Source organism: Homo sapiens, chromosome 10, assembly GCF_000001405.40.
Source record: "Homo sapiens chromosome 10, GRCh38.p14 Primary Assembly".
Lineage (NCBI taxonomy): Eukaryota > Metazoa > Chordata > Mammalia > Primates > Hominidae > Homo > Homo sapiens.
Genome location: NC_000010.11, coordinates 16,272,049 through 16,296,297, shown reverse-complemented (window position 1 = coordinate 16,296,297; position 24,249 = coordinate 16,272,049). Strand labels below are relative to the sequence as shown.

The 24,249-nt window shown below is 40.2% G+C and overlaps 1 long non-coding RNA gene across 3 annotated transcripts; it reads right to left on the bottom strand.

The window, feature by feature from the left end:
* Positions 1–439: 439 nt before the first annotated feature.
* On the bottom strand, positions 440–18,241 carry LINC02654 (long intergenic non-protein coding RNA 2654). Of its 3 annotated transcripts, NR_184075.1 has the most exons (4): positions 17,549–18,241; positions 12,390–12,568; positions 7,397–7,456; positions 440–609 (listed from the first exon to the last, which is right to left on the bottom strand). It is a non-coding gene; the product is annotated as a long intergenic non-protein coding RNA 2654 (long non-coding RNA). The 3 variants fall into 3 exon arrangements; NR_184074.1 differs by lacking the exons at positions 7,397–7,456; positions 12,390–12,568 and adding an exon at positions 4,483–4,561; NR_184073.1 differs by lacking the exon at positions 440–609 and having other exon boundaries at positions 6,838–7,456.
* Positions 18,242–24,249: the final 6,008 nt, after the last annotated feature.

Below are 24,249 nucleotides of genomic sequence, written 5' to 3'. Positions count from 1 at the left end.
GGTAGTGGCGGTGGTTGTGATGTGTGTGTCTGTGTATCTGTGAGGGAAAAGGATAAGAGAGAAGGGTTACTGAAAAGAAAACAATAGAATAAATCGAAGTAATAAAAAACAACTCCCTGAGTAAAGTTGTGTGGCACAAAAGAACACAGAAGAGACGTGGCCAGTCCTGAAATGGAAGTGCAGTGAGACAGGCAACAATACAAACCTCCTCGAACTGAACGTGTATGGAAGTCATCCGGGAATGGAAAAGGAGATTTTCTGAGGTGAATGAAAAAGCATGAAACAGAATGGACCAATGTTCATTTAGAGAAATGAAATAGAAATAGACAGGACTGAAGATGAATATAGGAAAGAAGAAACTGGAAATGAAGCCAGAAATGAAGAAGATAGAGAAATCCAGTACAGATTAGTAAAGATGAGCTAGAGAAGAGGACTCTAATTTTAGTTACATTATCTCTATTTAATTACATTTAAAGATCATCTCAACGTGAATGTTCAGTATTCATTTGCTTTGGATACATGAATTTTCAGTATTCGTTTGCTTTGGATTGAAAGATTTGGTAAAGATGAAGTCCTCAGAAATGAGGTATCACAATCTGGGAGAATTTGCTAAAAAAAAAAAAAAAGAGAGAAATGAGGGTAGACCTGTGAAAATGGTGATATATATTTTTATAAGACAAAAAGGTACACAGAGTTTTATATTTCCATAACAAAACTTAAAGTAACAAGTCAGAATACATGTTTCACAAAAATAGAAAATGGCAATATTGTGAAACTACGGTGCATTGCTTCAAACATGCACGCTCTTTCATAGATCATCTTCTTCAGACCCAAGATGGCGGTATTAGGGTCTATGATGGACTTACTGGCAGCCAGCTTACTGTGAGGGCCTTGGAAAGAATCTCAGGTTCTTTTTTTTTTCTCCAAAGGTTAAAATTACCTAGACTCCCCAGAAATCTTAATTGTAGAATGTAATTGTCAGTGTCTACTACTTATACATTCTTTTCCTTTTCTGTATCATCCCGCCTTTTTTTTTTTTGAAATGAGGTTTTGCTCTGTCACCTAGGCTGGAGTGCAGTGGCATGATCTCAGCTCACTGCAACCTCCGCCTCCCAGACTCAAGCGATCCTCCTCCCGCTTCAGCCTCTTGAGTAGCTGGAACTACAGGCGTGCACCAGCATACCTGGCATATATGTATATATATATACATATATATATATATATATATATATATATATATATATATATATATATATATATATATAATTTTTTTTTTTGTCATGGAGTCTTGCTTTGGAGTGCGGTGGCGTGATCTCGGCTCACTGCAACCTCTGCCTCCTGGGTTCAAGTGATTCTCCTGCCTCAGCCTCCCAAGTAGTTGGGACTACAGACATGCACCACCACGCCCGGCTAATTTTGTTATTTTTAGTAGAGATGGGGTTTCACCATGTTGGCCAGATAGTCTCGATCTCTTGACCTCGTGATCTGCCTACCTCGGCCTCCCAAAGTGCTGGGATTACAGGCGTGAGCCACCGCTCCCAGCCTAATTTTTATATTGTTTTAGAAATAGGGTTTCACCATGTTGCCCAGGCTGGTCTCAAACTCCTGAGCTCAAGTGATCTGCCCACCTCAGCCTCTCAAAACACTGGGATTACAGGCATTAGCCACTGCCCTCAGCCTCATCTCACAGAACTTTTTTAAGCCTCTTTTCCAATAGATGATGTTCTTCCCTGGACCAAACACTTAAAAAGACAAATCTACTTTTTGTAGCGTCTTTTCAAATCCCACCCAAGTCTAATCACCAGAAGCCCTGGAGCAATTTCTTTGTCCCTAAACACCCTTCCCACTGTGTCTTGTATTCAGCACGTACAAGTATGTGATGGTTCACCAAGATCCACTTTATGTTCTCAATATCTGCCTGTGACATTTAAGTTCTCTACAAATGAGAGAAATTAATGTTCCACTTATAAAATCATAGAATGTTGGAACTGGGAGGGAAGTTTAGAGATCATCTAGTCAAACTTATTATGAGTCATTTGTTAACAGCTCCAAGGGACTCATTCGCAACAGGGAATATAAACAATTAAGGCCTCTTAATAAACTCTATAGTAAGAAAAATTACAGGATTCCCCCAAGGAAGGAAATGAAGCTAAGTGCACTAATTTGGACAGATGCTTGAACAGCATCACCAACACATGCAGGCACAAATGCAGGGCAATGTTGATTCAGTAGAGTAGATGAGACTTCAAATCAAACAGAGACATTTATGAAGCATAGCATCATGATTAAGATCGCCCAAGGTATCAGACAATCAAAACTGTGATCCAGAAATATCAGAGGCACACAGTCTAGCTCCCAGAGAAAAACCACAGACCACACTGTTAGCATCATTTTTCTTCTGAATCTGTAGCCTAATACACCCAGTGCTCAAAATGTTACCAAGGAACCCTATCACAGAATAGGCTCATAAGGAGGCTTAAAACAACCACCACCGCCACCACAAACGACCCAGTTTTGTGGGATACACTTGCTAAAATCCTTATAGAGCTCTGGGGTAAGTACCTGGCTTCCCTAGTTCCTGCTGAGGTCGTTAAAGTTGATTCACATCATTAATTACATTTCCCCCACACCAAGAGGACAGTGTGGGGGAAATGTAACTGAAAGTTTCTACTGTATTCTAGTTCTCCGTCAGCAGGATTGGGTGTGTGAGGAGGTCCGTCTGAAAGTGCTCTAAGGTTTCTGGCCTGGAGACGTCATCCCGAGTTTATAAGCTTCAGCTTATGTTTTGCCTTCACTATGGAGTCTTTGCTGATCTCTCAACCCTAGATGAGCAGTTTTAATTAAAGTTTACTTTTTGCAGAGAAAAGGGAACTCGTATATACAGTGAGTCCAGCCACAAAGGAAAAACAGTCTGAAGATTTCTCAAAAAACTAAAAGTAGAATCACCATCCCATCCAGCAATCCCATTATTGGCTATCTACGCAAAAGAAAAGAAATCAGTGTATCAAAGGATACCCAACCTCACATGTTTATTGCAGTACTATTCACAATAGACAAGATATGGAATCAACCTAAGTGTTCATGAATGGATGAACTGATAAAATGTGATATATATATGTGTGTGTGTGTGTGTGTGTATGTGTATGTGTGTATGTATATATGTATGTATGTGTATGTGTGTATGTATATATGTATGTATGTGTATGTGTGTATGTATATATGTATGTATATGTGTGTGTATATATATATACACATAAATACACACATATATACACATACATACACAATGGAGTAATATTCAGCCATAAAACAAGAATGAAATCATGTCATTTGCAGCGACATAGATGGAGTTGGAAGTCATTATCTTAAGTGAAATCAGCCAGGTGCAGAAAGACAAATATTGCCTGTTCTCAATTATATGTGGCAGCTAAAGAATTTGATAGAGAGAATTAGGTAGAGAGTGGAGAGAGAGACTGAGAAAGGTGGGTGGGGAGGAGGTGGAGGATGAAGAGAAGCTTGTTAAAGGGTACAAACATACAGTAAGATAGAAGGAAAACATTCACCGTTCAGTAGCAGAGTGGGATGACTATGCTTAACAAAAATGTAGTGTACTTGGGTGTTGGACACCCTAAATACCACGGCTTGGTCATTACGCATTATAGACATATTACACAGTTTCTCATGTACCTTGTAAGTTTGTACAAATAAAAAAGTTAGTCTCTTCCTTTGGCCTCTTACTGTTCTTGAAGACCAGTGAGGCATAAGGTGGCACTGTGTCCTCTGTGGAATTTTAAAAATGTGTGAAGTTTTTTTGTTCACTAGACTAGCAGGCACTTCTGGTGTTCAGTGGGTAGGAGCTAGTTCTGTTCAACGAAGAAGTATTCTGTGGCCAGGCACGTAGTGGCTCGTGCCTGTAATCCCAGCACTTTCGGAAGCCAAGGTGGAAGGAGCGCTTGAGCCCAGGAGTTCAAGACCAGCTTGGCCAACATGGTGAGACCTCATCTGTATTTTTTTTTTTAAAGTAGTATTCTGTGTCCAGTATTTTTACATAATTTTAATATACAGTGACTTTTCCAGAAGTTCAACTACCGCATACGTGGAGAAAATTGCATATTGTTTTGTTTGGAATGTTACCAAGTCAATGGCAGTGCACTCAGGTATTTGAATATCCAATACCTATCACTTCTATCATTCTGCATTTGCAGATCTACAGTCAGGATAATTCTATGGATGAGGGCAAGGATCTGTTTCATTGTCTTCTGCTGTGATCATACCTGCGTATTCATTGTCTTAAGTTACATTCCTTTTATATTTCGTTTTACAGTGAGGACACTGCATTGATTTTTCTGAACTTACGTATGCAAAGATATGTTCTCTGAATTGATTTCACGACAGTAAAGGACACATTAAAATATTTATTATAGAAAATATATTGGGTCTGACAGGAATGAGGTGGAAAGAGCATGAGCATTTAGGTCATACCTGGATTCTGGATTTGTCTCTGCCACCTACCAGTTTTTTGAATTTAGGAAAGTTACTTCTGTAAGTCACGTTTCCTCATCTGCAAAACAGGGATAATAGCAACCTTTCAATAGGCACTGTGATTTATGCAGCTCCTAATATGTAGCAGATGCTCAGTAATTATTTCACCTTCATTCATTCAACTAATAATTATTGATCACCTACTCTGGGCAGGTATTAATATGGGTGCTGGTATATATAGCAACCAACAAAGAAAATCTCTGCACTAAGAGAGGTTACATGAGACAGGTGCAGTGGCTTATGCTCCTAACCCTACTGACTCAGGAAGCTGAGGCAGAAGGATCACTTGAGGCCAGGGGGTTGAGACCAGGTTGGGCAACACAGCAAGATCCTTTCTCTACAAAAATAAAAATAAAAAATTTTAGAAAGGTCATCTACAAGTGATAAGAAATCATTTTGTTCTCTGAATTTTAATACCATTTTTTCTTTTGAATTTCCTTTTATTTTTAGTTATTTCTTTGAGGCTGGGATGAGAAATTTAACAAATTTTTGCAACCTGTTGCATTAGCTGGTATTGGTGTAAATTTTATTCAGGTACATTCTCTTTTAATCATCAGTAGTTCTGCCCAAAGTGCCATGCACTTTATCTCATTGTTTGCCTAAATTGTTGACAGATTATTTATGCTTTAGTGCCATGTAGGTGTTTATACTTACTTAATCCTTACAGAGGAATCTAGCTAACAATGCAAGAGAAGTTCCTAGAGAAAATCCGCCTGTGGTTTTGGGGGTGATTCAGAGTACCCTTAGATTTCCCCTCATTACATCACCTCAATGACACAGGCAAGTTAGTGTTACAAGTATGATGGTTGGGGGGAACCAGGTTCTTTGTCTATCAGTTGGTTTTCTTTCCAAGATTATCAGCCATGGGTATCTGAAAGCTGTCATCTTTCACAAACTTAACTAAGAAGAGATACTCACTTCCAGAAATTACCACAAAGGAGAGTAAAGTTTAAAACTTGATATCTGCTCTTATAATTAAAATTTTCTGATCTTAAAATTCCTTGACCTCTCCCATTGCTTAGGCTTGTTGTCGGTTATTTTTTCTTCATAACCCTAACCCATGGCCATTTTGCTGGGGTCTGCTTGTCTCCTCCAGAGTTCTCTATATCATGTCTTCTTTCTTTGAGTTTCCACATCCCTGCAACTCCCTGTAGCTAGGCTCTCCTGGAAGAATCCCATAACATTCATGAATATAATATTTGCAGAGAAGCACCTGCCCATAATAATTGCAATCCTTGACAAACCTGCTTGAAGCTTGTGTCATTCTTCTGCTCTGAGATCAATGGGAGTAGACACTTAAGCATTTTCCATGCACTTGTCAGTTAAGATGACCCAGAAGAAAGTGACCCAGAGACATATTCCAGCTTCAGAGCTGCCAGCCATTCAGTGCAGCTGAGGTCTAGCCTCAGCACCCTCTTACAATGTTGTGTTTGGATTAACATTTTTCCATAATATGTTCCATGTTAGACATGTCCGTTGAAATTCTACACACATTGGCTGGGTGCGGTGCCTCATGCCTGTAATCCCAGCACTTTGGGAGGCTGAGGTGGGTGGATCACTTGAGGTCAGGAGTTCGAGACCAGCCTGGCCAACATGGTGAAACCTAGTCTTTGCTTAAAAAAAAAAAACATTAGCTGGGCATGATGGTGCGTGCCTGTAACCCCTGCTACTGAAGAGACTGAGGCAAAAGAATCACTTGAACCCAGGAGGCGGAGGTTGCAGTGAGCCGAGATTGTGCCAGTGCACTCCAACCTGGGTGACGGAGCGAGACTCCATCTGGAAAAAAAAAAGAGAAAATTCTACACAGACATACATATATACATATAATTCTGTCATCAACGACCCCTGTTGGAAAGTTACAAAACCCTTTGGCAAAGGGTCAAAAAGTGGTGTAGTAAAAAGGGACGTTTTAAACTTTGGTTAGATGATCATTTCACAGATGTATTTGACCATGGTTCTCCAAAAGCCTATTGGAATGTGGCACTTTGGGAGATACTGTGGTCGACCAGGTGTCAAACCTGTGCGCACCTGCTGCATTTTCTTCTCTGGCCTTTATTTTTTTTTTTTTTTCTCCCCTTGGCAAAAGATTCCTTGGCTCGGTTCCACCCCTTCCTTTTTCTCATTCCCTCTGGTGGGTTGTGTTCTGCTTTCATAGAGTGTAGATTGTCTTATTGTTAGGTGATTCTTCTAACATGCTTCTATTTGTGAAAATTCTGTCTTTAATTTCACTCAGGACAGTGCCAGTGTACCGCTAATGTTAGGAACTCAACAAAATGCTGCTGATAAGAGCCCATTTGTTCATGCAACAGGTATTTATTATGTGACTACCCCGCTAGACACTCTTTTTAGTATTCCTAACACATTAATGAGCAAAATGGACAAAGACTCCTGCCCCTGTGAAATTTATGTTTTAGGAATGCAGCCAAGTAGTAAATACTGGACAGAATAGGTTAAGAAAAAAATTTACAGAACATTAAACTAATATTCTTTTTCTTATAATTCCTCTTTTCTTGGTACCACATAGATCCAAGTTATTTTTGACTAAGGGTCTAGACTTTCATTTTTAGGCCTAGTAGACCATTATTCAGCACATCAAATCCATTTGTAGCTGTACTATCAGGACAACATAACAAGAAAACAAAAATGCTGATTATCTGTCATTTCTGTAGGGAATAAGTGGATGTAAAAATGAAAAGGAGGCAAGAAAAGGCAGCAAAAATCTGTAATGGGCAATGTGGTAATTATAGGTGGATAGTCAACCAAATTCAACAGCTGCATTAATTACATCTGAAGATGGTGGTGAAGATGCTTCTGCCAATCCATATTTCATTGTTTCTGATATCCTTAAGGGTACCTGAGTTCCTGAGTTCTGGAGGTAGGTTACATTTCTTGTTGGTTTCTTCTCCTGACCACTCTGTTTAGTAAGAAAGGAAACAAAAAAAAAGTCCTGCCACTTTGGAACTCCTGATGGTTTACCCCACCACCCTCTCTTCCTCGGTCACTGTCATGCACCAACCCCTACTCTCACTCAGTCATCTGAGACTCTGCCCATTGATTTGCAGTCATTCTTTTCCATCCAAACACCATAGCTATCCTGAGTGAATCCAACGTGTGAATGGCCCTTCCAACATTCCAACTTCTTACTGCTAATAATTTAAATTTCCAATGGATTCCTCTTCTGTGCACCCACCCCAACTCAGTGATATGTGCTCTCTATCATCTGAAACTGCTCCACCTCTACAGTCATTAATTTCAAGCATTCTACTTCGCATCTCAGGCTCCTTGTCTTCCAGCCTACTTGTTCAACTACTCCTGCAATGACTGTTCTTTAATCTCATCCACATGAATCCACTGAGAACTTCATTGTCTCCCAGTCAGGCTCGCACCTGGAATCCCAGCACTTTGGGAAGCTAAGGCAAGCAGATTGCCTGAGCTCAAGAGTTTGAGACCAGCCTGGGCAAAATGGCGAGACCACATCTTCTTTAAAAAAAAAAAAAAAAAGAATTAAAAGTAAATAAATGATAAATGCTATGGAGTGAGAGAACATTTATCTCAGAATCCACTGAGAACTTTATTCTCTCACAGTCGAGCGGTTTTTCTTACTTCACCTCTTCTCATAACAATCTTGTAAATAAATTCCATGACTGACTTATGCCATTTATCTTGTAAGACTCTTACGCCCTCTGTACTGTCACCTGTATATGGGCAGCTGAGCCATGCTGGAGAAGGTTGCAACAAATGGCAAATTAAATATCATTAAAATTCATCCTTCTTAAAACATGTCTCTGACATTGCTTAATAATTCTGTTACGTTTCTCTGATCAACTTGGTCCCTCAGTCTGCAGCATTCATTATTTATATATATATTTTGTTGTTTTACTCGCCATGTTGCTTAGGTTGGTCTTGAACTCCTGGGCTCAAGCAGTCTACTTGTCTTGGCCTCCCCAGGTGCTGGAATTCCAGGTGTGAGCCACCATGCCCAGCCGCATTTATTAAACGTGCTCTAGGCCTCTTCTTTTGTTCTCATTGACCTCTTATCTCATCCAGCTAATATTCTTTTTCTTTTTCACAGCCAAATTTCTTGAATGAAAACGTTTCCTGATTTGTTGCTTTCTCCACCCTTTTTTTGTTTTTGAAACCTCCCACTAACTACTTATTCTACTCCAAACTGGCTTCTACATCCTCGCCAGTTTATCAATCAAAATAGCTCTCAGTGAGGTCATCACTGAGATCTGTGCATGAAATTCATTGGGCAGTTTTTAATGTTTAACTTCCTAGTATTTGAAGCCAACTTTAACTTACTTGACGATTCCACCATTCTTTCTTCTATAACAGTTTTATTAAAATATAATTTACCTATCATAAAATCGACCCATTTAAAGTATAAAATACAATGGTCTTTAGCCTATCCAGAATTTTGCAAATATGACTGCAATCAATTTTAGTACATTTTTCACCATCCATACCCATTAGCAGTCTCTCCTCATCACTGTTGAGACTGTCAGCCCCAAGCGGCCATCAGCCTACTCTCTGTCTCTATGGATTTACCTATTGTGAATATTTCACACAAATGAGCTAATATGTGATCCTTGTGACTGGCTTCTTTCACTTAGCATAATGTTTTCAAGGTTTATCCATGGTGTTGCATGTGTTAGTACTTAATTCCTTCTTATTGTCAAACAGTATTCCATTGTATTGTTATACCACATTTTATTTGTCCATTAATTCATTGGTGAATATTTGTGTTGTTTCTACTTATTTGCTAGTATGAATAGTTCTGCCATGAATATTTGTTCACAAGTTTTTGTATGCACATGTGTTTTTATTTTTCTTGGGTACGTACCTAGGAGTGAAATTTAGTTCATATGGTAACTCTGTTTAACCATTTGAAGAACTATACAATGTTTTCCAAAGTGGCTGCACTATTTTACACTTTCACGAGCAATGTTTGTGGGTTCCGATTTCTCCACAGCCTTGCCTACACTCATTATTATCTGGCTTTTTGATTTGAGCCATCTTAGTAGATGTGGAGTCATATCTCATTTAGGTTTTGATTTGCATTTCCCTAACAACTAATGATGTTGGGAATCTTTTATGTGTTTATTGGCCATTTGTAAAACCTCTTTGAAGAAATGTCTATTCAGATTGTTTATTCATTCTTAAATTGGGTTGTGTTTTTATTGTTGCAGGAATTCTTTGTATAATCCATATACCTGTCCCTTATCAAAAATAAGATGTCCAAGAGATTTTTCCCATCCTCTGGGTTGCCTTTCACATTCTTGGTGGTATCTTTTGAACTACAAAAGTGTTAATTCTGATGATGTCCAACTTATCTGTCTTTCTTTCATTGCATGTGCTTTTGGTGCCATATCTAGAAACCATTGCTCAATCTCATAAAGATTTACTCTTATATTTTCTTATAGGAGATTTATAGTGTTAGTGATAAGGTTTGGCTGTGTCCCCACCCAAATCTCATCTTGAATTGTAGCTCCCATAATTCCCATGTGTTGTGGGAGGGACCTGGTGGGAGATAACTGAATTATGGGGGTGGATTCCCCCATACTGTTCTCTTGGTAGTGAGTAAGTCTCATGAGAGCTGACGATTATATAAGGGTAAACCCCTTTCACTTGGCTCTCATTTTCTCTCTTGCCTGCTGCCATGTAAGACATGCCTTTTGCCTTCTGCTATGATTATGAGGCTTCCCTAGCCATGTGGAACTGTGAGTCCATTAAACCTCTTTTTCTTTATAAATTACCCAGTCTTGGTTATGTCTTTATCAGCAGTATGAAAATGGACTAATACAGTTAGCTCTGTCATTTAGATATTTGAGTTAGTATTTGTATGTGATGTTGAGTAAGGGATGCCACGCATCTGGAAACCACATCCTCTGTCTTTCCTCCTGACCCTCTATATGGTCCCTCTCAGTCTTTATATTTTACATTTTTCTGTCTTTAAATGTTGTATTTTCTCAAAGACATGTCCTCATTTATCTTCTTTTCATGGATTCTCACTGAATATTGAGGACTGAGCATAAAAAAGACAGAACCTAAGTCCACATAACACAACATTTGGCTCATCAAGTAGTTTTAAATCAGATTTTAAAAATGATGCCAAGCAACTCAGGGGTGTTCCTGCTTAAAGTTATAATGTTTGCTTTTCTGAAATAAGGTAATACATTTAAAATGTTGAAGCAGCTGTCTCCTAGTGACTAGGAGCTCTGAAAAATTAGTCCAGAATTTCACTTTGGACTTATATTTTTCATGTTTTAGTTTTTAGGAAGTCAAGGAGAAAAAAACGGAGGAGAGAATATTTGATGAAGTCTTCCCCATCTGGGCCAGGTGCGGTGGCTCACACTTGTAATCCTAGCACTTGGGTAGGCTGAGGTGGGTAAATCACTTGAGCCGAGGGGTTTGAGACCAGCCTGGGCAGCATAGTGAAACCCTGTCTCTACAAAAAAAAAAAAAATTAGCCAGGCGTGGCAGTGCCTGCCTGTGATCCTAGGTGCTTGGGAGGTTGAGGTGGGAGGGCCACTTGAGCCCAGGAGGTAGAGGCTGTAGTGAGCCATGATAGTGCCACTGCACTCCAGCCTGGGTGACAGAGTGAGACCTTGGATCAACAAACAAACAACAACATAAAAGAAAAAAATATTCCCCATCTGATACTGTTCAAGCAAAGGGAAAGAATAGAAGTGTGGCCAGGGGGTGACAGATCCAAGGAGCCAGGAAAGGACAGTCCCAGGAAGGGACAGTCCCAGGAGGAAATGGGCTCAGAATAGTGGGTGCAGAGAGGAAACCACGGAGACAGCTTCTACCTGGAAGGGAAGGAGAGTCTGTATACGTGCAAAGAGAATCTCCTGGAACTAGGAAGTGCTTTGAAGAAAAGAATGGATTTTACTTTATGCCAGCCCCTAAGAGTCTTCTCAATGAAAGTCCTCAAAGAATAAGGGAATGACATTTGTGAAAAGCATTCTGAGGTTGCTCTGAAAAATATTTCCAGATAATTCCAAGATGCTACAAGCGATCATACTGACACAGTTTACAAATAGAGCAAACACCAAAGGATACAGTCGCATGCACAAAAACAGCTTATTTGTGACCTCAGGATTACCACAAAATTGAGCTGCATTTCTGGACTGTCACCTTCAGGTGGGCCAAGGTGGTTACAGATCACTTTGCAAGTAGAATTTGTAGCTTCCAGGATAGATTAGAGGATCATTCTGTCATAGGGCACCTATTATCTAAGTCTGTGGAAATGCCACCTTCTCTCACCCTTATATTGTATAGACTTTATTTAAGTTTTTTTTAAGCATAAGAGAAATTCTGTTCTTGTCACTGTAATTTGCTGGCTTTAGGGTAAGCAGCAACTGCTAGAGTGGCACAAGATACGGAGGTGGAGATTTTGAACTTTGGGAATTAAAAAGGAGACCATGCAAATGGGTGCTTGAGGTATGCTTCTGATGGAGTGGAGTGAGAAGCCCCTGAGAGGGGCTGGCTGCTGGCTGGAGAGAAGGCAGAAACATCAGCAGGATCATGAGGCATCGCGGCCAGGGCCTAACAAGGCCGCAAACTCATGATCAGGGACTGGCTGGAGGGCCCAGGGCCTCATGGCCTTGCTGCATAGCAGGCAACAGCTTCCCAGTGCTGCTGTGTTTCCTATAACTCCCCCTCTGTGGTCTCCCTAAAGTCCTCCCACACTCTCCAGCTGCTACACTGACAACGCGGCACAGTTGCTCTTTCCGGAAGCCCAGAACCTTCCCCAACCACTGTCCCTTCCAACTCGCCAGCATCACACCCTCTCCACATTACTTCTCACCCAGCCCCTGTGACCCTCTTCCCTTATCTCTCACCTTTGTTCAACTCAAGGATCAACACTGCAAATGTTGCCTCTTCTTTTCCTTGAATTTGAGTCTCTGGACCAAGAGTCCATAGCATCTCTCTATGGAAGGCAGGAGAAGGCTGGAAGGGCGGCTGTCAGGAGCTCAGAGCTTCCTTGACCTTCACATCTCTCCCTTAGCGGCCCCTGCTTCTGAGAAAAAAGGTAGTTAACCAGGACTTAGGTGGTCCGCTTTCTTCTCTACATTGCCTGCTAACTGGCTTTGTGAGGGCAGAAAAGTCACTAAGCTTATCTCCTTACTATTTACCTAGAAAATGCCCTAATTTTCTCTCTTTTTAAAAATTAAAAAAAACAAAAAACAAGCATTTTTGAGACAGAGCCTCACCCCAGGCTTGAGGGCAGTGGCGTGACTCTAGTTCACTACGGCCTCAAACTCCTGGGCTTAAGGGGTCCTCCTGCCTCAGTCCCCTGAGTAGCTGTGACTACAGGTGCATGCCACCATGTCTGACTAATTTTTAAATTTTTTTGTAGAGTCGTGGGTCTCACTATATGTTGCCCAGGCTGGTCTCAAACTCCTGGCCTCAATCCATACTCCTGCCTCAGCCTCCCATAGTGCTGGGATTGCAGATGTGAGCCACTGTGCTCAGCCATCAATGGTTTCCCAGTCCCAAGTTCTCCTTCTTCCACCCTCCCAGCATTATCTTGCTACTCAAGTGGCCATGCTGCAGAATGGTTCCCGCATTTGTGCTCGCTAACCTCCTAGCTAGTTTACTCATCTCCCTCTTATTCCATGGGTGGATGTGTTAGTCTGTTCTCACGCTGCTAATAAAGACATATTGAGACTTGGTAATTTATGAAGGAAAGAGGTTTAATTGATGCACAGTTCAGCATAGCTTAGGAGGCCTCAGTAAACTTACAATCATAGCGGAAGGGGAAGCAAACATGCCCTTCTGGACCTGGTGGCAGCAGGAGAAGTGCTGAGCAAAAGGGGGGAAAAGCCCCTTATAAAACCATCAGATCCCGTGAGAACTCACTATCAGGAGAACACCATTAGGATAATCACCCCATGATTAAATTATCTCCTAGCAGGTCTCTCCCACAACATGTGGGGATTATGGGAACTACAATTCAACGTGAGATTTGGCTGGGGACACAGCCAAACTGTATCAGTGGACTAATTTTTCTTTCTATTCCCTTCTCCCCTAGACCAGTCAGTCATTTTAGTAAGATTGTCTGACTGCCCACTATGGGCTAGACCTAATTTCTGGGTACACATTAATGAGCAAAATAGTTATATTTTTTCTTTTTTTTTTTTTTTTTTTTTTTTAAATTGAGACAGAGTCTCACTTTGTCATGTAGGCTGGAGTGCAGTGGCATGATCTCAACTCACTGCAACCTCTGTCTCCTGGGTTCAAGCAATTCTCCTGCCTCAGCCCCTGAGTAGCTGGGATTACAGGTGTGTGCCATGATGCCCGGGTAATTTTTGTAGTTTTAATTGAGATGAGGTTTTGCCATGTTGGCCAGGCTGGTCTTGAACTCCTGACCTCAAGTGATCTGCCCGCCTTGGCCTCCCAAAGTGCTGGCATTACAGGTGTGATCTGCCACGCCTGCCCTAAGATAGTTATATTTTCTGTTCTCACACAGCTTATAGACCAAAGTGAGTAAGACAGATGAGAAACAAGAAAAAAAGGTGCAAAATGATAAAACACAATAGAATAACACATTAGAAATCTTTCCTTATTCTCATATCTTTCTCTGAAGATCAGGCTTTGAAGTAAATTAGCCATAGACTTGAGACTCATAACTTTTGCTTCTTTAGATGCTCTAGTTGACCTTCTCATGGCTGTGGTCTTTGAAAGACTGTTCAAGATCAGAAACTGAAGACAAGGCTGAGCAGGATTGTGGACTTCTAGGTTTCTGGAATGTTGAAACCACATCATGTACAGGATATGGCTTAGAAATAGGTACAGGCCTACAATTCTGTGTATATATGTACATATACTTCAACATGCGTTAGTGAATAAGGCATTATATTTTGTCTTCCTGGTGCATACTTTTTTTTTTTTTTTTTGGCTGAGTGTCAGTCACTCTGTCATCCTGGCTGGAGTGCAGTGGCACCATCATTTCTCACTGCAGCCTCGACCTCTCAGGCTCAAGTGATCCTCCCACCTTAGCCTCCTAAGTAGCTGGGCTACAGGAGCACACCATTAAGCCTGGTGAATTTTTTAAAATTTTTTTGTGCAGGCAGGGTCTCACTATATTGCCTAGGCTGGTCTTAAACTCCTGGCTTTAAACAATCCTCCTGCCTCAGCCTCCCAAAGTGCTGGGACTGCAGGCGGAGCCACCGCAACAAGGTATTGAAAAGTTGAGACATAGCTTATCCATTGAAAACTTAACAGCACTCAGTAAGTCTTAGTTAAGAAGAAGACAGAAAATCAGGAGCGGTTGGAATCAAAAAGTGAGAGACAACACCCAAAGTCAGTTTAGGTTTACAGGCTCTTTGAATAGCTGGTTCTCACTCTTAAGTTATTCTGAATATCATAAAGCCTTGGCAAAGCCTGAACTTGGTCTTGGTTCTGCTTTCGTGTTATCAATAGCATGCAGTTTTAGAGGAAGGTTCCTGGGAAATGCCCTAGAAACTGGGGGCCTCTTTGAGGCAGGCAAATTTCTGGAAATTAGCAAGTATAATCTTGTTTTGTTGTCCCAAGCTGTTGAGGCTGGAGATTTTTAGTACAGAAATTATTTCCTTCTCCTCCTCCAAATCCCTGTACAGTATGTGTGGGACAGGCATCATTATCAGCTTCCCCTTGCATTTCACTGAGCATGGTTTAATAATTTCCCCAAGGTTACCACGTAGATGTGGAAGCTAAGCTTTCTTGTTTGACGTGCCATATACTGCAGATCATTCCAACTTTGGTAATGCCTCCCTAATAATTAAAAGGGTTTTAGGAAGGTGGACAGACCCCATGGAATTCAAGCTACAATATGCTTTTCCAAATTCTTCCACTGTGCTTTGCAATCAAATCAAGCTGCTGTTCATTTCAAGACCAAGGATGCAATGTTCTGGGATACAGTGTTCTCGGTCCTGTTCCCGGTGGATGAGTCTCTTTGGATCACAAATAGCACAGCTGATGCTAATGGTTGCTTATCATCCTGCAGCTTCTCAAATAGGCTGCAAAGTTGGCAGGAGAGCCCTTGGGCATGGAAACATAGGCTCTCAGATTGTATTAAAGCATCAAGAGCATATACTGTCGTAGCTTCAGACTTGTTCATATGTCTGAGCTCCTGAACGTTATGGGATGTGCAACCCTATGAAATACCAGCATGTGTGGTTATGCCAAGTGGACAAGTGGGACACAGAAATAGAACAATATAACATATGTGCTCTGTAAAATCATAGCCCACATGTCCACGAAAATAAACAAGCTGAGCCCGGTCAGTTTTCAGGTTTTTCATTAACTTTCACTCACTTATTGAATGATTTAATTGCATTGCCATTTGTTATCAGGTGAACAGTCATAAGCAACAAACAGTAAAGAAAATGTATGGAAGAAGAACTTAAATGAGAGAATTCTATGCACAAATTTGTTACATCTTTTTCCTTAAGTGAATCAGGAGAAGACCATTGTTACTTGATCATTCTGGAAGAATGTCACATTATAGCTCTCAGAAGATGTATTTCAGGAACCATAGCTGTTGGGTCAAGTATAAATAAATGTGACCTCAAGGTTTGTTGTAATATAAAGATGGGCCAGTTTGAACTTTTTCTTGTTTCTCTTAAGCTCTAAATGGTTTGCTAAAGTTCTAAATGGTTTGCTAATTGTGTTGATAACAAGAGCAAAAGGAAAAGTATTTTTTTCCCACTTTTTCCATGTGTTCTAAAAAAGGATAATTCTTAACCTGCTTGAGATTCTCAATTTTCCAAGCATTTTAGACAGCTACGGAGCTTGCCATTTGCAAGCTTGTCTGCCCAACATCTTACTTGCCTATTGCCAACCTTTGAAGAGATTGATCTTTGAAAAGACATACTAAGTGTTCCCATCTTCTCTTTCTTTCCTCTTTCTCTAATTCCTTTCACCTCTTCCCTTAGAGAAATCACTGCTCAAAACTTGGGTCTTCTCAGAAGACAGTATGAAGGCAACCTAGTTTTTTCAATTTTCTCAACACGTGTTGCAATTTAGATTTAAAACACAATTCATATTCATGTTACAACCTATCGATCTGGTAGCTGGAAAACATCCAAGGATGTACCGTCTAATTCATGCCAGTTATTAGATTGAGAACACTGTGAGGGCAGGCACCTGTGACTCACACATATTAGTTGTGGTGTCATTGTAAAATACTATTTTTTATTTATATATTTTTTAAAAATTGTGGCCCATGTTTCAGATACAGTATTTCACTGTTGCAACTACACCTTCTTTTTCTTCTTTATTTTATTTTTTGAGCTGGGGTCTCACTCTGTCACCCAGGCTGGAGTGCAGTGGTGTGATCTCATCTCACTGCAACCTCTGTCTCTTGGGCTCAAGCAGTCCTCCCTCCTCATCCTCCCAAGTAGCTGGGACCACAGACAGGTGCCATAACACCCAGCTAATTTTTTGTATTTTTCGTAGAGACAGAATTTTGCCATGTTGCCCAGGCTGGTCTCGAACTCCCGAGCTCAGGCAATCCACCCGCCTCGGCCTCCCAAAGTGCTGGAATTATAGGTGTGAGCTACTGCGCCCAGCCTAAAAATATTAATGAAAGAACGATAATGACAGCTGAAACTTACATAAGTACATGCTAGGCAGTCTTCTGAGCACTTGATACATCTTAACACTTGATTCTTACAGCAACCAGTGAAGTCAGTACTAATATTGTTCCTATTTACAAATGAGAAAATCCGGACATTCACTAAGAGGTTGAGTGACTTTCTGAAGGTCAGGAAGAGGGAAAGCTGGATTCTAGACCAGCTGTGTGGCGTTAGGCCCTGTGCCTTCACTGTCACCATCTCCATGCCTCTCAGTTCATGAAAATATAGCAGCACACTTTATGAGAAAATTTTATTTGATCTCAGCTCTTCCCCAACCCAGTACCCTATTTGCATGACATTTTTATACCTTTCCTAAAGCTTCTGCATATTTTACCTTATAATCAAGTTTTCAAATGACCGGGTTCTAAATTACGACATACCTTTGCATTTTTCCAAGAGCCATCCTTTGCATGACACATAAGTTAGGCCGGGTTTTTAGGAGTCTGATTTGGATGAAGTTGATGTCAGTGACTGACGGGATGAAGGCTTTTTGACCAGTCTATTTGGGATGTGGACAGCATTGCTTGTAGATTTTCAACTGGGTTATTCTCCACCCTCCAAAGCTTTGGTGGCATTTAAAAAAAGGCGATCAGCTTTAATGAGCAATTTTTATGACTACTTACATCCCTTTTTATTTAATTTGATAACTGTACTACAAAGCTATTACAGCTGATGCTTTATCAAAAAATACCACAGTACTAGACCTTAAAATCCCCAAACAAACGAAACCTCAATAATTCTTTGTTGCTTTAGAGACTTCTCTGATTTATTTCCCAATAATAATTAAAACTGTTGGAAAGCTCAAAAAATACTTAATGGGATTACAAATTTACTCATCCTCTAATATGGATGTCCAAAGACAATATAGCTCCTAGATTTCTCCAGACCAGTTTCTCATCAAGTGTCTACATCTTGAGTAAACAGGAAAAGAAGTCTTAGTTTAATCTGAATCACAGCAAGACAAGATAATTTTATCTGTTTTGGGGGCCTTAACTCGATTCTTTGGACAACTGCTCTGTGTTTCAGATTGCTCTACCTTGTCGCCCTCCTTTCCAAGATGGCAGCCAAAGCATGGGAGGGGCCACAGGCTTTCTGGAGTTGGGAGGGGAGCGTGTGGTGACCGATGCGAACGGAGCTCAACTGAAGCTTGCCTCAGCCAGTTCTGATCCTAGGGAGCCTATTGATAGCTGTTGTTGACATCTATGGTGGATAAACTCATTCGTAGTCTATGCTTTTCTAGTGTCTCTGGACCCTGGAGGATCCGCCCTAATGACTTGGCTTCCCCTTAGCCTTCATGGGTTTTGAAGACTCCTCTGAGTCACTGCCACATCTGTCATCTGCCCCTGGCTCATGTCCACCACCCCAAAGGCTTTGCTGTGAGGCCACCCTACGTGGACCATACTAGGCTCAAGAATAGGTTCTTTAGCTTTCACCTTAATCCTGAGACAAATGAGAAGCAAGGAATGATTAGTAAATTCAATCTTCAGTTTTTCTAGCCATGTTCATTTAAGTATGTTGGGGCTTCTGAAATGAGCTTAGAACCCTCTCTGATCCCAATGTTCCCCACAAAGAAGGAACTGGAAAGAAGCCCTTCTGGTCTCCATGTCCCTTTCAACCAATCTAACCGGCCCCCTCTTGGTGCCTAGGCTTCAAGCCCTGCACTGCAGATAGCAACACAGGCATCCAACTGCCTCCCACTCTTAACTCTGTAATTCCTTGATACGGTTTGCCTGTGTCCCCACCTAAATCTCATCTTGAATTGTAGCTCCCATAATCTCCGCATGTTGCGCATGTTGTGGGAGGGATGTGGTGAGTGATAATTGAATCATGGGAGCAGTTTCCCCCACACTATTCTCGTGGTAGTGAATAACTCTCACGGGATCTGATGTTTTTATAAGGGGTTTCCCCTTTCACTTGACTCTCATTCTCTCTTGCCTGCTGCCATGATTGTGAGACCTCCCCAGCCATGTGGAACTGTTAGTCCATTCAACCTCTTTTTCTTTATAAATTATCTAGTCTCGGTTATGTCTTTATCAGCAGTGTGAAAACAAACTGGTATACTCCTCTTTCCCCCACAAACAACCGGGGTCGGGGGAGCAGACATGTTTACCTTCCTCTTTTGTCATGAGTGGGATTATCCTATAAATTGTGTCCTTCCGCTTCCAAGGTTACATCTTCCTCTCTCCATCCCTGAAACTGAAGAGATGGACTTACGTGGGAAAGAGAGATACCAGCCTCCTGAAAAGGGAATGTGAAGATAGAGATAATTAAAAATAATGCTCTAGTTATAAATCTGTCTTAGCTAATGGTGGCCTTAAAGTATTATTTTTCACGAGTCATTACAATCAATTACCTTGATTCTGAAAATATACGGAAACTGGTGAAAATGGTCATTATTTTAAAACTTTTAGAAAAATATGGCTTTATGATTTTAATTACAAAACGTTAATCTTGGTATGATTTATGGCACCTAAGTTGTAGGATGTTAAAATTATAGGAAAGAACTAATATTTATTGAATGCTCACTATTCTCTAGATACCTCCAGATAGTTTATATATTATTTAATGCTCATAAGAAACTTACAATCAAACTTTTCATACAAATTTATATGTTAGCATCTGTAAAATTTTTAAATAATTCCCTAATGAGGCCACCACTGAGAAAACAAATGAGCAAGCTCAAAGAACATTTTAGGAACAAGGATTTAAAAAGACAGAAAAGGAATCACTAAGTACAATTGCTAGGTTACAGACACAATTAATTAACTTTCTATATCTTATTAATTTCAGAGGTTAACATTTAAGTTTTCTGGGTTGGAATCACCTATGTTTTTATTGGTTGTGGCTTATTAGTGCAATATTTGGTGAGAAGAAACTTACATTTTTAGCAGTGTTATCAGAAAACGCTCAAACATAATACAAAAATAAAAAGCTCACCATTTTGCTGGTTTTGAGTTTGAAATAATATTTTATTTCAGACTATCCTATGAGTTGGTTAATGATCTCCTTAATTTATCCGTAAGGAAACAAGCTCAATAAAGACAAATAACTTGATTAAGGACACACAGTTAGCTCCTGTTGTGATATAATTTATGGATCTCCAGCCTTTCAGCATGTCTTTAGGAAGAGTGTTTTGTTCTGGACCATCTTTTCAGACATCTCTTTGTAGTAAGGTGCCTTGGGTTCAGAGATAATGTCTCCCTCTAGAGCAAACAGTGGACACTTTGTTTGCTGCCTATTATAAAAGATGGGGGTTTCCTAAACTCGGGGTTCCTCTCCTGCAACTCAACCGACTGCATCAGCAGGTATTACCTGGCCCTTGTTGTGTTGTCCTGTAGGAACTGGGAGTCAAGGAAAGAAACAAGAAAGTGATAATACTGTGGCTATTGCTATTGCAGTGGGTAAAATGCCCTTTGTCTCTGGCCCAGGAGTCTTAGGTCTTCTGCCTGCATCCTTGAAATTACAGCACGTTAAGTTGTTAGCTTGAATGTAGGGTAACATTTTGGACTCTTCACAGTTTCTGATATCTTTCAGGAATTCTCGGCCTGCTGTCTTCTCCTTATGACACAAAATTGACCATTCTTTCAGGATGGGCTACTCATTACCATGCCTCTGCAAACTGTCCCTTTTCCCATCTACATCACTGGCTTCCCTTTAGGAGAAAAATGATATAATTCATAAAGATCTTAAAAACTGATAATACTTATTGCACTATTTTGGTGATTTTAGTGATTTTTAAGCAAGAATGCATAAAGAGAATGCTTTCTTCTAACTGGAATATGCAGGAGGATAGAAAAAAAGGAGGAAAGCCTTATTTTAGCAAAGGCTCTCTAGATCACCCTAAGTCTTGTAAATCATATTGCATAGGTGTTAGAATAAAAACAAGATATTATTGGTATCTAGTCCTTACCCTCCTAGGCCCAGTGATTTTTCTGACACATCAGTTGAAGTACTTTATAGCCATAATGAAACCTTTTGGTGGCTCCCCACCACTTCTGGATAAAATCCAAACTTTTTGCTTGGCATACGAGGTTCTTGGGAATCTGCCATCCTCTTCCCTTATCTTTCCCTGATTCACATCTAGACTCACCACGCTGAACCACAGACTGTTCCTTAAACCCGTTAAGCCCCTTTATGGCTCTGTGCTTTTTGTGGAGATGCTCCTTCCTCTTCTTTAACTGGCCTATTTCTTACTTACCTTTTAGACAAACTCTTGGAAGGCTTCACTGGGTATGGGTTCCTCCTCTCTGACTCCATTGAGTCCAGCAGTAACTTCCACAATAGCTCTTGCTTTGCCATCAAGTTGCTGAACTGCAGCATTTCCCAACTTGAGTTTCCCAAAGGTGGTTCAGTGTTAAATTCGGTAGTGGTGTCTAGACAGTGGTAAGATAATTATTTAATGTGTCACATAGTAAAAAAATTCAACCCTTTCTTCTCTTTAAAATAGACTCACTGGAGAGTTTCCAAATGCAGATTGATGATTATGAGGGGCAGTTATTGAAGATCTGGAAACCATGACCTGGAGTCAGTAATGCCAGTGGTTTTTCAATCCAGCTGAGCCCTGCTACGCACTTTGTGGTGGTAAATGACCATTATACAGCTTAGGCTCATGTGTGTGCTTTTGAATTATAGGTCATATATTGATTAATTTAAATCTATAATAAGCTTGATGAATTCTGTGAAATACAAGGAAACCGGGTTTTGTAATCCAATAAATTAATAGGGACATAGAAAGGATGCGAAGTCTCTAAATTCACCTCAATATGAACTTCACGAGAGCCATTAGTCACATGATCAAATGTCTTATGTTGACCTTCAAGATAAAACCAGTGCTTCAAAACCCAATATAAAAAGAAGCCATATTGATGATTATTTCCAATTTGAATTTTTATTTTTTGGGGATTAAGACTTTCCCCTCACAAGCTGTTGCTTGCAGAAATGCACTTGCAAATAAGAATCTGAAACCTGTTTTTTTTTAAAAGTACAGAATGCAAAAATACCAAATATCAGATGCCGCAAACAATTTTTGCTTTTTAAAATAGTGCTTAATGTGTATTTAAATTTTAATTTACATTTTAATATATATTTAATCCCCAAACCAAACATGTCATAATTAAATTCATGTGTTGACAGATTATGCTTTTTCTTATAAAATTTAAAATAAAATGAAACAATCGTGACATGTGTTAAATGGAAAACAAGTCAAAATTTATCTGTACTTGGCTTGAATATTACGAACACTCTTTCCCCAGATGTCCATATGATTCACAGAATCATTTACTTCAGATCTGTATATAAAAGTCACATTTTCAAGGAGGTCCTTCCTGGCCACTCAGTTTTATTGATTGATTGATTGAGACAGGGTCTTGCTTTCTTGTCCAGGCTGGAGTATGGTGGCACGATCTCAGTTCACTGCAACCTCTGCTTCCTGGGTTCAAGCGATTCTCCTGCCTCAGCCTCCCCCGTAGCTGGGACTACAGGCATGCACCACCACGCCTGGCTAATTCTGCTTGTATTTTTAGTAGAGATGGGGTTTCACCATGTTGCCCAGGCTGGTCTCAAACTCCTGATCTTAGGTGATCTGCCCACCTTGGCCTCCCAAAGTGCTGGGACTACAGGCATGAGCCACTGCACCCAGCCACATTCAGTTTTAAACTGGAACGCATTACCTAACACCCCTTTGCCCCATCTTCCTTCCATGGTGTAGTTTCTCCTTAATATAACTTTTCACTCTCTTACATACTATAGATATTTCCAAAAAAAACTATATTTATTATCACTAGAATGTAAGATCCATGAGGGCGTGGATCCTGGTCTACCATATGCACTATTATATTCACAGTGTCTACGACAGTGCCTGACTCTTAGAAGGTATTCAATAAATAATTTTGAAAAAAATTACAATCTTACAATAAATTTTTTTAATGTATTGGTCTAGAGGAAAACATTTTCTACTTAGATACATTTATATATCATATGCCATTTTAAACATTTTTTTACGTGTTAACATTTTTACAGGGCTTTGCAATGTTATATATTACTTTCATAATACATCAAATGGAAAAAAATGCTAGGAAAAGGGCTCCATTGTAATTTTGGTTCGGTGTAACTAGACTGTGAGTTTCTGTGGTCAATGATCTTTAAAAATTTTTTTTTCTCTCTCTTGTGTGCTAGAACATAGCATATAGCTGGTGCTCAAAAATAGTTTGATTGAAAAAATAAAGTTTAAATAAAGTTTCAGAGGGAGACCAACACAAGTCAGTGTGAAAATGAAGTCTCGGGACACACACAGATGCAACCATTCCATAATACATTGACTGTAAGTCTCATATCTTGCATGTAACTATCTCTTTGTCTACAGACCATTCATCTGTCGCTTCCTCAGGCTCCTCTTGCCTCTTTCCCATTCACTTCAACACTACAGTCCCAATGTCACTTAGCGAGATGGTTGTGGGAAGATTGGCCTGTTGCAGACAGGAGAAGCTACTGGATTGGTAGGAGGTAGGAGGTGGTGGTTAGTGGAGGTATTAAGACAGCTGGGGTAGATGAGAACAGAAATAAAATGGAAATTGAACAGAAATGGAATGGAAAGTGATAAGAAATGGTTCTTTTTTGGATAGGGAAATTATATAACTTGTACTGATCTCAGAGTGAAGACAGGAAAATGACTGTAATTGTCTTGAGTCCATAGCAATTACACTGTTGAGGGTTAGGTCATGAGTCACTGTACCACTCGCATCTCTTTTAGCTACCCAGGATATAACTCATATTATTCTCGAATAAAGGAAAAGACTGCGGTGCTCTTATATCTTTCTGAGAACACCTATGGTATAGAGGTTAAGAACACTTACATCATGGGTCATGAGGTTTGGGCTTGAAAAGGAAAATGAAAAGTCTTGGGGGCCAATGACTGTTTCACCTTTAGACATCGGGTAGGTCAAGACTTTGTGTCTTGGAACTGGTTTTGTACCTCCAGCGTCTTCCAACATTCCCACCACAGAGCTGTAGTACAGGTTCTATTCGAATTTGAAGAATCCAATTTTGAGATTCCAGCACATAAATAGTGAATTATAGACGATCA